At 56.7% G+C, this 14,303-nt stretch overlaps 1 protein-coding gene across 16 annotated transcripts in view, besides 3 other annotated features; it reads right to left on the bottom strand.

The window, feature by feature from the left end:
* The window catches only part of KDM4B (lysine demethylase 4B), a 184,486-nt gene that overhangs the window by 119,750 nt on the left and 50,433 nt on the right, over positions 1-14,303 (bottom strand). For 15 of the 16 annotated variants that reach the window (XR_007066691.1, XM_005259521.5, NM_015015.3 and 12 more), the window contains exon 3: positions 818-983. The exons of the other annotated variant lie outside the window; for it this stretch is intronic. Coding sequence is in view for 14 of the 15 variants with exons in the window: in XM_005259521.5 (XP_005259578.2) it covers positions 818-958 (141 nt within the window). In the remaining variant the exon portion in view is untranslated. The remainder of the gene's footprint in view (positions 1-817; positions 984-14,303) is intronic. 16 annotated transcript variants of the gene reach the window in all.
* Positions 2,135-2,194: an enhancer, noted in NCBI's record as "active region_13792". NCBI's record gives its function as "activates an Ori minimal core promoter by ATAC-STARR-seq in GM12878 lymphoblastoid cells {active_cell/tissue: GM12878}" and the evidence as "EXISTENCE:reporter gene assay evidence [ECO:0000049][PMID:35858748]".
* Positions 2,225-2,274: an enhancer, noted in NCBI's record as "active region_13791". NCBI's record gives its function as "activates an Ori minimal core promoter by ATAC-STARR-seq in GM12878 lymphoblastoid cells {active_cell/tissue: GM12878}" and the evidence as "EXISTENCE:reporter gene assay evidence [ECO:0000049][PMID:35858748]".
* Positions 6,832-7,331: an enhancer, noted in NCBI's record as "H3K4me1 hESC enhancer chr19:5026529-5027028 (GRCh37/hg19 assembly coordinates)". NCBI's record gives its function as "activates a minimal SCP1, AML or CMV promoter by ChIP-STARR-seq in naive and primed H9 embryonic stem cells {active_cell/tissue: H9 hESC(naive and primed)}" and the evidence as "EXISTENCE:reporter gene assay evidence [ECO:0000049][PMID:30033119]".

The following is a 14,303-nucleotide window of genomic DNA, read 5'->3' as shown; positions in this document are numbered from 1 at the left end:
GAGCAGAATGGTACTGTACATACTCAGCATGTGGGGTTCGGGGGTCTGCTGTGTGTATTCACGTACACGCGTGCACAATATGCCGAGAGAGAGAGAGAGAAGAACCAATAACAGTGCTGCTTCCAGGGAGAGGGTGGGGGACTGGGTCGGGACAGGGAGGAGGCTCCTGGTCACTATGTACCTGCGCTGTCGCCCTGTTTGAGTTTTCCTGACCCAGTCACTCTGCCATCTCAAAAAGATTGTTTCTGGTGTGGTCTGACTTGGTTTTTGAGACAGGGTCTTGCTCTGCTGCCGGGGCAGGAGCGCAGTAGCACGGTCATAGCTCATTGCAGCCTCTAATTCCTGGGCTCAAGCAATCCTCCTGCCTCACCCTCCCAAATAGCTGGGACCACAGGCATGCACCACCATACCCAGCTTAAAAAAAAAAAGTTTTACTAGGAAAGTAAGGCCTTCCTGGGCACTGAACACCCCTGGAAGGCGTCCCTCAGTGAGACGTCAGCTCACGGCCAGAACAACCTGGTGGCCCACTGCCCCTGGGCTTCACTGCAGTGTGGCTGTGTGTCCTCACCACCCCCTGCCAGCTCCCTGGAGCCAGGGCCTGCACCGGCCACTTCTCAACTCCAGTGCCTAGAATGGTGCCTGGCACATTGTTGGAACTCCACAAACAGGCGCTGGTAAACGAGCTGGGAGTGGCCCCGAAACACATTCCACGTGCACAGGCCACGCCTGTGGGGCTGGCTGAGCTGGGACCCAGGATGTCCGCAGGCCCGCGGCGCAGGCTGATGGAGGGCCGCGCTGGGGCCAGGATGTCACCCACCTTGGCCAGGCCCGCCCGGTGGGCTCCCTGCGACTCTATGTAGGCCACGTATTTGTTGAAGTCTTTAAATTCTTCCATGGTTGGGCGAAACGTCATGATTTTACAGCTGGGGTTCTGGGCGCCGTGGTCCTCAGACCCCATGGCTGCAGCTGTGCGGGAAGCACACCTGTGGAGGAAGACGAGAGAGGGTGAACCAGCGGTGCCGCCATGCCCAGCCCTTGGAGCCCGTCCTCCCTCAGAACGGAGCGTGCTAAAAATACCGTGGCCACCAGGAGGACAAAGGCGGCTGGGCCCTCGCGGCTGAGTGAGGGCAGAAGAGAAAACCACGAGCGGCCTCGTCACTCTGCTGAGCATAAAAGGCACGAGGGCTGCAGCTAACGAGAAGCAGAGGCGTCCTAGTTTCTAAGGCCGAGGCGACACCGGGAGCCAGTGCGCTAATTTTAAGCGGGGCCTCGGAGAGAAAGGTTTACGTATCAGGGACGCCACAGGTGTGTCAGCGTCCGCTGCACATCAGTCTCTCTGCTCTGAGCCTGATCCGCACGAGAGACCGCGGCATCTGCGGGTTTTCGAAGGTGAGGGCGGCCATGGGTGAGGGTCACACGCTCAAGGGCAGGGGGACCCACCCCTCGGAGCAGGCCTGTGGGTCACGGGGGGCTGGCTGGCTGCTGCCAGCAGAACTCAGGCCCTAGCAGGAACCTTGACCCAGGAGAGCAGCAGGCCCGCCCAAGACGGCTCATTTCCTGCCATCATAGCTGCCCAGAGTCACGCGGGTCATAAACCAGCCCACCAGCCCTGTACAGAATGGGGGATTGCACCAGGCCAAGTGATTCACTGACGGCACCCGCCTGGAAACATCGGAGTCAGACTGTCCTCTCCACGGAGGCTGCGGGCGGGAGCGGCTCCCTCCTGTCCCAGGTGTTGCAGGGTGGGAACTGGTAGCCCACCCCGACCAGGAAGGGACTTTGATCACAGACTCTGGGGAAGGGTCCTCCTTGGCAGGTTCAATCTCCAAAGGCAGAAAGACGACAGAATCCCTCTAGGATTCGGAAACAAGGACCCAAGTCCACACAAACCCAAAAACTTAGAAAAAACTTAACAAAATCCACCTCCCCACGCTGTGACCCCCAAAGTGATCTAGAGTGTGAAGGAAACAAGGCAGGGAGCCGCCCAGACAGTCCCGGGAGTGGGGTTCCCAGCCACCAAGGTGCAGCCACCCGCTCCTGAAGGCACTCCCCACTGCGGGCACTAGAGGGCAGCATGCACCCAGGAATCTGAGCAGGACGGCAGGGAGGCCCCAGCTAGGCTTGCACTGGTGTCCAGAACCCTCCATCCTGACAAAAGCAAAGCCGAGGTCGCCCCCTGGCCTCCACCTACTGCCTTGGGTCCACCCCATACCCTGCCTGCAGCACACAGGGCTGATACCCAGCGCTGAGCCCCAGCCCTGACGTCACACCCCGCGCTGGGCTGCTGCTGAGAGACCCCCACTGGGTTTGACAAAACCGCACAGCTCCAAGCCCACGTGGGCTGAGGCCCTGCCCGCCACCCTTGCTCTGTGCAGAGTCCTCGCAGCTTCTCCCATGGGGCAGCCGCAAAGCCAGTGTCTGCACAGGAGGCCCCAAGTGCACCGTGCACGGCACGTGACCACGTGCAGCCTAGAAATGTAGACTAGACGGTCACAGTGTGTGTCAAGGCAAGGCACCTGTCACAGTCACCAGAGCTGCCTGTGCCCAGAGACCAGCCTCTGACTGCGCGGGGCCTCCCAGGCCACCACACTGTCCCAGCGGGCCCCTCGCCCACAGCCAGGTCCCAGTACCCAATCCTCACCTGCGACCCCGCCAACCCCACAGGCCCCAGGATCCCCCCAACGCTGCACCTGCCCTCCCGCTCTCACCCAGATGTGGCCATGTAGTGTTCACCCAGGGCCTGCGCACTGTCCCCAGGGAGCCACCGGCTCAGAGGGAGCAGAGGCCGCAGCTGGACCACTGTGGGACCCTCAGTGCCGGCCTGAGCTGGGCCAGTAGCCACGATGGGAGCTGCCAAGGCACCTGTCAGGGCAGCCCTCTGGGAGGACTGGGTGGCAGAACGCGGTCACCTCAGGCCTCCTACTGGTCCCCAGCCCTCAGAGGCCGGGCCAAAGGCCTGAGGCCATCCCTGGATCTGCCACAAACAGTGCCCAGATGCGGTGGTGGCCACAGTGGTCCCCACATCAGCACTTCCCGGGTCCCTGGCCCTGCTCTGTGCATCACAGATGATGACATGGTCGACTGAGCTTATTGAGGAGGCACAGAGGCCCACGAGGGGCAGTTGTGGGCCTAGGCCACACGGCACACAGCTGGGCTGCATGCTATGCCAGGGCACTGCCATGACCGCATGAGTCTCCCCCTGCGCTTTGGCAGCTGGTGGAGGCGCTGGGACCCTCGTGCACCCAGCAGCCCCTGTCCCTGGCTGCCTCTCTGCAGGCCGGTGCACACATGGCCTCTTCCTGCCTCCCTGTAACCCACTGCAAGGGCCATCAGCTCCCAGGAAGCCCTCAAGTAAGAGTCATGTGAGGGGCTGGCCCACCCCCCTCTGCAGGCTCTGACCTCCAGGTCATCAAAGCCCACCTGCCCCACAGGACTGGCCACAGGGTGACCTATGCAGTATGGGGCCTGCCACACTCTCATGTCCCCCAGACCAGCTGGGCCCAGGAAGGACAGGGCCTGGGGCAGGGCTGGACGGCCCAAGGGATGCCTCAAACTTGTGCTCTGTACGACAGGAAAGCGCTAGGCACGGTGGCACACACCTGTGGTCCCAGCTACATGGGAGGTAGAGGCAGGAGGATCACTCTAGCCTGGGAGGTCGAGGCTTCAGTGAGCTGTGATTGCGCCACTGCACTCCAGCCTGGGTGACAGTGATCCTGTCTCAAAAAATAGATAAATAAATAAATAATAAAAAGGGGGGCTCCCCACACCTCGTGGGGTTGCGGGGGCTCGTCTGGAAAGCACGTGGCCACAGCTGCCAGCAGCACACCCTGCAGTGTCAGGTGACAAAAGCCCATGGCAGGTTACGCATCAAAACCCACGCTGGGGAGACCCAGACAGCCCTTCCATCTGGAAGGTGGAGCCGTGACACCGGGAGCCACTCTCAGCACAGGGACTCAGGCACTTCACCCACCACCGCCCCCTAGGGGCAACTTGGTGCACTTTTTAAGAAACTATTGTTTTTTGAGACAGCATCTGGCTCTGTCGCCCAGGCTGGAGTGCAGTGGCACGGTCACGGTTCACTGCAGCCTCAACCTCCTGGGCTCAAGCCATCCTCCCGCCTCAGCCTCCCAACTAGCTGGGACCACAGGTGTGTGCCACCACACCTGGCTAATTTTTGTACTTTTTGTAGAGACGGGGTCTTGCCATGTTGCCCTGGCTGCTAATAAACGCCTGGCCTGAAATGATCCTCCCGCCTTGGCCTCCCAAAGTATTGGCATTACAGGGATGAGCCATCATGCCCAGCCATTTGTGCCTTTGGAAATGACATGCTTAGGAAGTAAATCATACAGAGAAAACTAAAATGGTCCACAATCCCCACGCGCCATAACCTTGACGCACGTGCAACACAGCTAAACAGGGAAGAGGGAATTTACTGAAATGCAGTCCTGTGACTGACCTTCCAGGTCACCAGGAATGTGGCAGACAGAGGACACAGGATGACTCGGGGGCATCAGACACCCTGGAAGAGCCAGAGGAGCTGCCCGGCAACAGCAACATGCTCACAACGGCGCCACGCCAAGGAATGGGGCTCTCAACTCAGAGGCAAAGACAAACAGCCCAGTAAAAATGGGCCAAGGCTGGTGGGCGCGGTGGCTCATGCCTGTAATCCCAGCACTTTGGGAGGCCAAGGCAGGAAGATCACTTGAGGCCAGGAGTTTGACATCAGCATAAGCAACATAGTGAGACTCCGTCTCTATAAAAAATACAAAAATTAGCCAGGTGTGGCGGTCTGCACCTGTACTCCCAGCTACTTGGGAGGGTGAGGCAGGAGAATCGCTTGAGCTGGGAAGGCAGAGGTTGCAGTGAGCCAAGATTGCACCACTGCACTCCAGCCTTCCAGCCTGGGCTACAGGAGCGAAACCATGTCTAAAAAACCAGCAAAAAACAGGCCAAGGACTTGGGCAGACAGCTCTCCAAAGTAGACAAATGGCCAACAAGCACGTGAAAAGGTGCCCAGCAGCACTCAGCACCAGGGAAATGCAAATCAGAACCACAATGAGCCACCACCTCACTCCCACCAGGATGGCAGAATCAGAATGACAGACGGTGACACTGTGGGCAGGGATGTGGAGAAATTGGGGCCCTCGAACACAGGCTGGCAGGACGGTGACGTGGGACAGCTGCTCTGCAAGACAGCTTGGCAGCTCCTGGAAATGTCACACATAAATCACACTTGACCCAGCAATTCCACTCCTGCGTATCTGCCCAAGAGAAATGAAAACATCCATCCACACAGAAACGTGTACACCACGTCTGCAGAAGCACAATTCCCAACAGCCAAAGGTGGAAACGACCCAGGTGTCCACCAACAGAAGAATGAATCAACACAACATGGCCCATCCATGCGGTGGAATACGACACAGCCATGAAAAGCAACGAGGCTCTGACACAGGCGCCACATGGAGGAACCTTGAGGACATCACAGTGAGAGAAGCCAGACACAAAAGGCCGTGTGTTACACCCCAGGCTACAGGGCTTCTCTGTAGGGGATGCCAATGTTCTCCACTGACTGTGGCCAGTGCAGTGGCTCGCACCTGTAATCCCAGAACTCTGGGGGGCTGAGGCGGGAGGGGTGCTCTAGCCCAGGAGTTCGAGACCAGCCTAGGCAACGTAGGGAGACCCCATCTCTACTAAAAATTAAAATAAAAAATTAGCCAGGCATGGTGGTGCGTGCCTGCCAACTACTCAAAAAGCTGAGGCAGGAGTATCACTTGAGGCCAGGATTTCGAGGCTGCAGTGAGCTATGACTGCACCCCTGCACTCCAGCCTCTGGGCAACAGAGCAAGACCCTGTCTCTAAAAAGTAAATGAATAAAAATCAAATTGTGATGATAGTTGCACAAGTTTTTGAATATACTGAAAACTGTGGAACTGGACACTTTAAATGGGTGAACAAATGAGTGTGCAAATTATATCTAATAAAGCTCTTAGCAAAAAAATTAAAAAGAAGGCTGGGTGCGGTGGCTCACGCCTGTAATCCCAGCACTTTGTGAGGCCAAGGTGGGCAGACTGCCTGAGGTCAGGAGTTCGTGACCAGCCTGGCCAGCACCATGAACCCCATCTCTACTCAAAAATATGAAAATTAGCCGGGTGTGGTGGTGGGTGCCTGTAACCCCAGCTACTCAGGAGGCTGAGGCAAGAGAATTGCTTGAACCCGGGAGGCAGAGGTTGCAGTGAGCCAAGATTGCGCCATTGCACTCCAGCCTGGGTGACGAGAAACTCCGTCTCAAAAAAAAAAAAAAAAACTGAAAAGAGAGAGAAGAAAGGGAGGGAGGAAGAATGATGGAAAGAAGAAAGAATAATGCTCTCCTGAACTCGCAAAAGAAGAGAGGAAACTGGCACTCTTCTCAGCTGAGAGAGGACAAGGAGACATCCCCAGCCATGCAAACGGCAGCTTCATCCCAGACCTTTTGTCTTGGGGACACGCGGGGAGGCGTGGGAAACAGCCGGGTGTGAGCCAACACTATGGAGTGGTGGTGGGCTTCACGGTCACAGAGAGACACATCCTTCCTGTGATTTGGGGTGGGCGCCACAGTGCCTGCTGTGCATGTTTAGCAGCCCTGGCACAAATACACAGATGTGGAAACAGACGCAGGGCAACCGTACCGGCTTCTGCCTCTGCCGGCCTCTGCCTGGTGGCACCCTGCACCTGCCGCTGCTCATAGTGCTGCTGCCAGGCCCACCCTTCCTTGGAGACCCCTTTCTCTGTCTCCCGCTCACGGGACTCTGGGCCTCGGGGTGCCGTGAAGGCCTCAGCTGGGCCAAAGGAGGCCTCGGCTGCCCCGTGGTGTGAGCTGGCTGGAGCCAGGCCAACATAGTTCCCAACAACTGGGACCCTCGGGCCCTGCTCCCACCGCCCTGCCCCATCCTTGTAGAAGATTCTAGACAATAGCTAATGCTGCAGAAAGGGGGCGGCAGTCAGCTCCTATGGGGACACCAGGGCAGGGGTAGGGAGGGATTTTATTACCAACTATTGTTTGAATTTCTCTTGGTACCATGCCAGTAAGTTTTTACAAAAGCAGTAAAGCTCTTGATACAAACTCAATTTCAAAACCACAAAACTGCCTTGTGCCCACTCTGTGCTGCCCCCAGCCTACCCCACCCTGACCCATCCCAAGGGCAGCTCTGAGCCAACTTGCCAGCCTCGGGAACCCAGGGCCCCAGAATCCTCCTCCGCTGAGCAAATGTGCAGGCCCCACCACGTGCCAGGCAGAGTTTCGGTTCTGGGACGAGACGGGGCCCAATCTGGAAGACTACTAATTAACAACGTCACAGAGGGGCGAGCAAGAGTTTCGAAGACAAATGAAGGCCAGACACTGCAGCACACACCTGTGGTCCCAGTGCTCTGGGAGGCTGAAGTGGGACACTCGATTGAGCTCAGGAGTTTGAGGCCGCAGTGAGCTGTGATCACATCACTACACTCCAGCCCAGGCAACAGAGCCAGATCATCTCAAAAACATTTTAAGGCTGGGCGTGGTGGCTCACGCCTGTAATCCCAGCACTTTGGGAGGCCGCACACATAGGGTCTGCAGATTCTACAGCTGCTCCTGGCTGGGGGACCGCAGAGGAAGCTGGGAGACCAGGGCAAACTCCTGGGCTTAGCGATCCTCACCTCGGCCTCCCAAAGTGCTGGGATTATAGGTGTGAGCCACCACGCCCTGTCCCTGGGTTTCTTCTTTATTCGGGGCTCAAGACATGGCCAACATGGTGAAACTCCCATCTCTACTAAAAATACAAACATTAGCTGGGTGTGGTGGCATGCGCCTGTAATCCCAGCTACTTGGGAGACTGAGGCAGGACAACTGCCTGAACCCAGGAGGCAGAGGTTGCATTGAGCCGAGATAGTGCCATTGCACTCCAGCCTGGGCAACGAGTGAAACTCTGTCTCAAAAAAAATTAATAAGTAAAATAAAATAAATAAATAAATTTAAAAAAAAGGAAAAAGACAAATGAAGTTGGTTTGGGACCAGAGAGGTCTGGGTGGCAGCGGGGCTGCGTCTGGAAGTGATTGTCAAACACGCAGGGGTGCAAGTTCTGGGCGGTCCAGGGCAGGAGGAAAGTCTAGGCAAAGGGAAGGACCCAGCGAAGCCAGGGAAGAGCTAAGGCCCCAGAGGCCGGATGGCAGGGAGCGCAGAGGAGGCGGCAGGATCGAGGCTAGACCAGGGTGGGCCCTGGGGGCTGGGCTGGAAGGAGCCTGCCCTCCTGTGGGGTTGGACGGGAAGCCGACAGGTGGTTCAGAGCAAGGAGACACGATCCAACCGAAATTTCTAGAAAGCTCTCTCTGGCTGTGGGAAGTGGATGGCAGGCAGGGCTGGCTTCCAGGGCATGCAACCCCCATGGGTACCCCAGGCCCCACTCAGTTAGATACACAGTTTAAGGCCCGGCTGGCCCCACCTGAAGACTCTCCATGGTTTTAGCACGGGAACCCTGTGGGTTCATTTCACATACGGTCCACAGAGTCTACAGCTGCTCCTGGCTGGGGCACCGCAGAGGAAGCTGGGAGACCAGGGCAAACTCCTGGGCTTAGCGATCCCCTCATCTCGGCCTCCCAAAGTGCTGGGATTATAGGCGTGAGCCACCACGCCCCACCCCTAGGTTTCTTCTTTATTCGGGGCTCAAGACAGGCTTGGGCCTCCAGCTTACCATGAAAGCCGCTTAACCCAACCCAGCTCTCAAAATCTCTAACAACAAAAAAAGGGTCCCTTTCTCCCCTCTACTCATTTTGAGGCCCAAGAGCAGCCTTCTGAGTAAACTACACACCACTGAATGACATGCTTCAAATGGGTGACTTGTATGGTTCGCAAATTGTATCTCAATAAAGCCTTTTTGTTTTTGTTTTTTGAGACGGAGTCTCGCTCTTGTCAGTCAGGCTGAAGTGCAGTGGCGCGATCTCAGCTCACTGAAACCTCCGTTTCCCGGGTTCAAGCAATTCTCCTGCTTGAGCCTTCTGAGTAGCTGGGATTACAGGCACTCCCCACCATGTCCAGCTAATTTTTGTATTTTTAGTAGGACGAGGTTTCACCATGTTGGTCAGGCTGGTCTCCAACTCCTGACCTCATGATCCACCCACCTCGGCCTCCCAAAGTGCTGGAATTACAGGCATGAGCCACTGCACCTGGCCTTAAAGCCTTTTTTTTTTTTAGGGCAGCTGTTTGTTCCAGGGACCCTGCACACCACGGGCCAGGCCTGGCTCCTCAGCCCTCCTGCTGTGACCATGACATGGGACCAGCAGCTGCATCTTATGGGCGGCCCCACCCCGGCTGTCCTGGACAGCTCCTCTGCAACCTGGGGGAGGAACAAGTGAGGGACGCTTCCGGCCCGGCTGAGCAGGGCCGCACGCTCCAGCCTGGGCTGCTCTCCTGATCGCTGACACACTGGGCCCAAGGATACCCTCCCGGGCTGCCACCCTCACTCTTCAGTCTTCAGATGCAGGGGCTTGGCAGGGGGCTTCAGGTGGGGACAGTCTGGCTGACCCCATCAGGCCTTCACCCCACCTGCACTGGCACTGCTGGGGCTGGGCCGGCATCCTGTCCACATGACCCCAGGCCCCACAACTGCCCATGTCCCCAAGATCTGAGGACTCTCCTTGACCCCAGAGTCCACTCTGGGATGGAAGAACTTGAAGGTGGGGCAGGATGCAGGGGTGTGGGCGCAAGGGACACCCAAGAAACAGCCAGGTGATGGCTCTCAGCGGCCACACGCAGAAACTGATGACAAAGAATCGGTTTAAAAATAAGAAGGCCAGGGGCAGGGGCTCACGCCTGTGACCCCAGCACTGTGGGAGGCCAAGGTGGGTGATCACTTGGGGCTAGATGTTCAGGATGAGCCTGAACATAGCGAGACCCCATCTCTACAAAAAATTTAAAAATCAGCCAGGCGTGGTGGTGCACACCCAGCTACTTAGAGGCTGAGGCAGGAGGATTCCTTGAGCACAGGAGATCGAGGCTGCAGTGAGCCCAGACTGCACCACTGTACTCCAGCCAGGGACAGAGTGAGACCCTGTCTCAAAAAAAAAAAAAAAAAAAAAAAAATTCAAAAAGACAGTGCATGGTTTTTGAAAAGTATCAGGCCCTCCTCTGTGGGTAGGAAGTGTGGGGGCTCCCTCGAGCCCTCGTCCTCTTGTCCCACCTCCTGCTCCCACTGGTCCCTGTCCCAGGAGGGCTGGGCATCAGGTGAAGCCCCATGCGGCCCCAGTGAGTCCCAGCCGGCCTCCAGCCCCTGTGCTGCCATCTCGCTGGTTCCTGCTGCCAAAGCACGGTTCCCAGCAGGGACCGAGGACAGAGGAGCCCCAAGCCACCAGAAGGCCCAGGAGGAACCCGCGATGCAGCCAGGTTCCCAAGTGAAACCTGGCCACAGAGGCAGCACGAGAACGCCACTCGGCCCCAGCCCCGGGCATGTGGCCTGGCACCGCATCACCACGTCCCACGAGCAGCTCCAAATGCCTCCCCTGGCAAGACCGGGATTCACTTGTCTCTGGTCTGATCTACATAAAGGGCCCTCAGGCAGGAAAGAGAAAACCTTGGCACGAGAACGTTCTCTGCTTCGTCCTACTCCAGAGAGCACCAGCGCGTGCCAGGTTCCCTCAGCTCAAGGCCCTTCCTCCACCTCCGCAGCCACAGCACAGCCTCTTCCAGCCTCTCTCTGACTCTCACCCTCCTGCCTCCTCTCATGAGGACCCGGTGAGGACATCGGGCTCCCCAGATCATCCAGGGTCATCTCCCAGCTCAGGGTCCTTCACTCAGTCCCACCCGCGAAAAGTCCCTTTTGTCATTTAAGGTAATATATTCATGGGTTCCAGGGATTAAGATGTGGACATCCATGGGGACCATCATTCAGTCCACCACGACTGCCATGTGGGAAATGTACCATGCAAAGAAATAAGCATACCTTGTACCCATAAAAACTACAAATTAAAACTTCAAAAAAAAAAAGTACCAACCCCCACATCCCTCCAAGCCCCCCCACCTGGAGAGCACTCCTGCCCGGCACACCTCGGGTAAACTGAGCACCTCTGCCTGCGCTCACTCAGACAGGAGCACAGTTTCCAGAAAATCAGACAAGGGAGTGAGCTCTCCCAACCCAGCTCCCCTGCAACACCAACAGACAGAGGCGGCACTCCAAGAGGTGGAGCAGGAACAGCCGCGCATGGTCACAGAGCTAACTCCCGGGACCATCCGTGGGGGTGGCCAGTGGCCTAAGTGAGGCAGGTGGAAGTGGGCTCCAGTTGCTGGCACTCCCAATGTCCTCAGTTGCCTCCTCCTGAGGCCTGGGCTCTGACAGGTGGGATTTCCAGGTCATGAGGTTTGCAGCTCATTACTTCTTCAGACACTCAGGCCTAAGTGTGGTGAGACAAGCAGACGGACCAGCCTCAAGATGAAGCCACGAGATGTGAGCCACACCTCAGCACGGTGGCCCTCGGGCGGAGGTCCTGTGCCCTGTGCCCTACGTACCCAAGAGAGGTGGTGTGAGGAAGGACAGGCACAAGACCCAGAGCACCTGGGGCCAGGCCTGGCCCTACCACTGATCCCCAGGAGATGAGGGACCAGGGCCACACTCTCAGAGGGAACATAGGACTATCAGCACCTGGCCACAGGGCCCGCCTGTGCTGAATGAATGAGCCACAGACAAAACCCTCACAAGGAACATGGCCCAAGTCACCACCTCCGGGCCACTTGACTCTGTCCATAAAACCAACAGTTTGATCCAAGCTCAATGCTCAGTCCTTCTACCCAAGGACCCCCAAACTGCAGAGGAGAAAACAAACGGACGATCACACATTGCCCCTGCTTGGGGGCCTACGGAAAGCAGACAGAGGCAAACAAAAAATGCGTGCCAAGTCTCTTAAATTAAAAATCTGGCTGGATATGGTGGCTCACGCCTGTAATCCCAACACTTTGGGAGGACGAGGCAGGCAGATCACGAGGTCAACAGATCAAGACCATCCTGGCCAACACCGTGAAACCCTGTCTCTACTAAAAAAATACAAAAATTAGCCGGGCATGGTGGCACGCTCCTGTAATCCCAGCTACTCGGGAGGCTGAGGCAGGAAAATTGCTTGAACCTGGGGCAGAGGTTCCAGTGAGCCAAGATCACGCCACTGCACTCCAGTCTGGCAACAGAGCGAGACTGTCTCAAAAAAAAAAAAAAAAAAAACCTGTGCCAGGCCTGCACTCTATCTACTCTTTTCCTTCAGTGTTTGTTTTTTATTTTATTTTTTGAAACAGGGTCTTGCTGTATCGCCCAGGCTGGAGTGCGGTGGCACAATCACAGCTCACTGCAGCCTGGAACTCCCGGGCTCAAGCCATCCTCCCGCCCCACAGGTACATGCCACCACACCCAGTACTTTCTGTATTTGTTTTGTAGAGACCAGGTCTCACCATGCTGCCCAGGCTGGTCTTGAACTTCTGGCCTCAAGCAATCAAGGCCACCCGCCTTGGCCTCCCAAAGTGCTGGGGTTACAGGCATGAGCTGCCATGCCCAGCCTAGTATTTGTTTTAATTAAAAGAAAAAACAAAAGATGCCCTCCTGGTCATGACACTCCCCAAAACAGCACATGATGTCAGAGTGGCCCCACCCCAAGAGCTGGAGGACACAGGGCCGCCCGAAGCCTGCAGCCAGGGGTGTTTTCTTTCTTTTTTTTTTTTTTTTGAGACAGTTTCACTCTGTCGCCCAGGTGGAGTGCAGTGGTGCGATCTCAGCTCACTGCAACCTCTGCCCCCAGGTTCAAGCAATTCTCCTGCCTCAGCCCCCGAGTAGCTGGGATTGTAGGCACACGCCACCACGTCCGGCTAATTTTTGTATTTTTAGTTGAGACGGAGTTTCACCATGTTAACCAGGCTGGTCTTGAACTCCTGACCTCAGGTGATCCGCCTGCCTCAGCCTCCCAAAGTGCTGGTATGACAGGCGTGAGCCACCACACCCGGCCAGTCAGGGATGTTTTCTATCAGCCCCCAGCTGACACCTATCCGTGTGCACAGACAGAAAGCGAAGTGTTCAAGGTGTGCTTTTTTACAGGTCAGGAAAAGTTACGAGGCCTGAACAAGGAAACCTAGCATTCTATTTAGGAGGAAGAAACCATTACGATTCAATACTCAAATAAGCCAACAGCCGAGGCACGGGAAGCAGGCAGGAGGAGAGGCCGACTTGCAGCTGCAGTGGGACCCCCTTCCCCCAGCGCCCGCGGCCTGGCTTCCTCTGGGCACCAAGCGACGGCTCCAGGGTCGAAATGGAGAAAGTGAGCAACTATTCCGAGAGTCTTTTCCAAGACCAGAGGCAGCCCTCATGCACGGCTGGTGGGAATGTTGAAGGGTGCAGCCGCCGTGGAGACGGGCAGGCGATTCCTGAGAAGGCTAAACAGAATGTACCCTTGGACCCGCGATTCCACACCCATGTGTCGGCCCAAGGGAAACAAAAACGCATGTCCACAGCAGCACCTGCACACCAACACCTACACACCAACACCTGCACACCAACACCCACACCAACACCTGCACACCAACATCTACACCATCTGCATACCAACACCTGTACACCAACACCCACACCAACATCAACAACACCTGCACACTAACACCTGCACACCAATATCCACACCAACACCTGCACACCAACACCCACACCAACATCCACACCAACACCTGCACACCAACATCCACACCAACACCTGCACACTAACACCTGCACACTAACACCTGCACACCAACATCCACACCAACACCTGCACACCAACACCCACACCGACACCTGCACACCAACGTCCACACCAACACCTGCACACCGTCCACAGCAGCACCTGCACACCAACATCCACACCAACACCTGCACACTAACACCTGCACACTAACACCTGCACACCAACACCCACACCAACATCCACACCAACACCTGCACACTAACACCTGCACACCAACACCTGCACACCCACACCGACACCTGCACACCAACGTCCACACCAACATCTGCACACCGTCCACAGCAGCACCTGCACACCAACGTCCACACCAGCACCTGCACACCACTGTCCACACCAATACCTGCACACCAACACCCACACCAACACCCACACCTGCACACCACCTGCACACCAACACCCACACCAACACCTGCACACCAACATCCACGCCAACACCTGCACACCAACGTCCACACAAACACCTGTACACCAACACCCCCACACGAACACCCACACCAACACCCGCACACCAACACCTGCACACCAACATCCACACCAATACCTGCACACCA

The sequence above is a fragment of the Homo sapiens genome, chromosome 19, assembly GCF_000001405.40.
Source record: "Homo sapiens chromosome 19, GRCh38.p14 Primary Assembly".
Taxonomy (NCBI): domain Eukaryota; kingdom Metazoa; phylum Chordata; class Mammalia; order Primates; family Hominidae; genus Homo; species Homo sapiens.
Note: the sequence above shows the minus strand (reverse complement) of the source record. Positions and strands in the feature narration are given on the sequence as shown.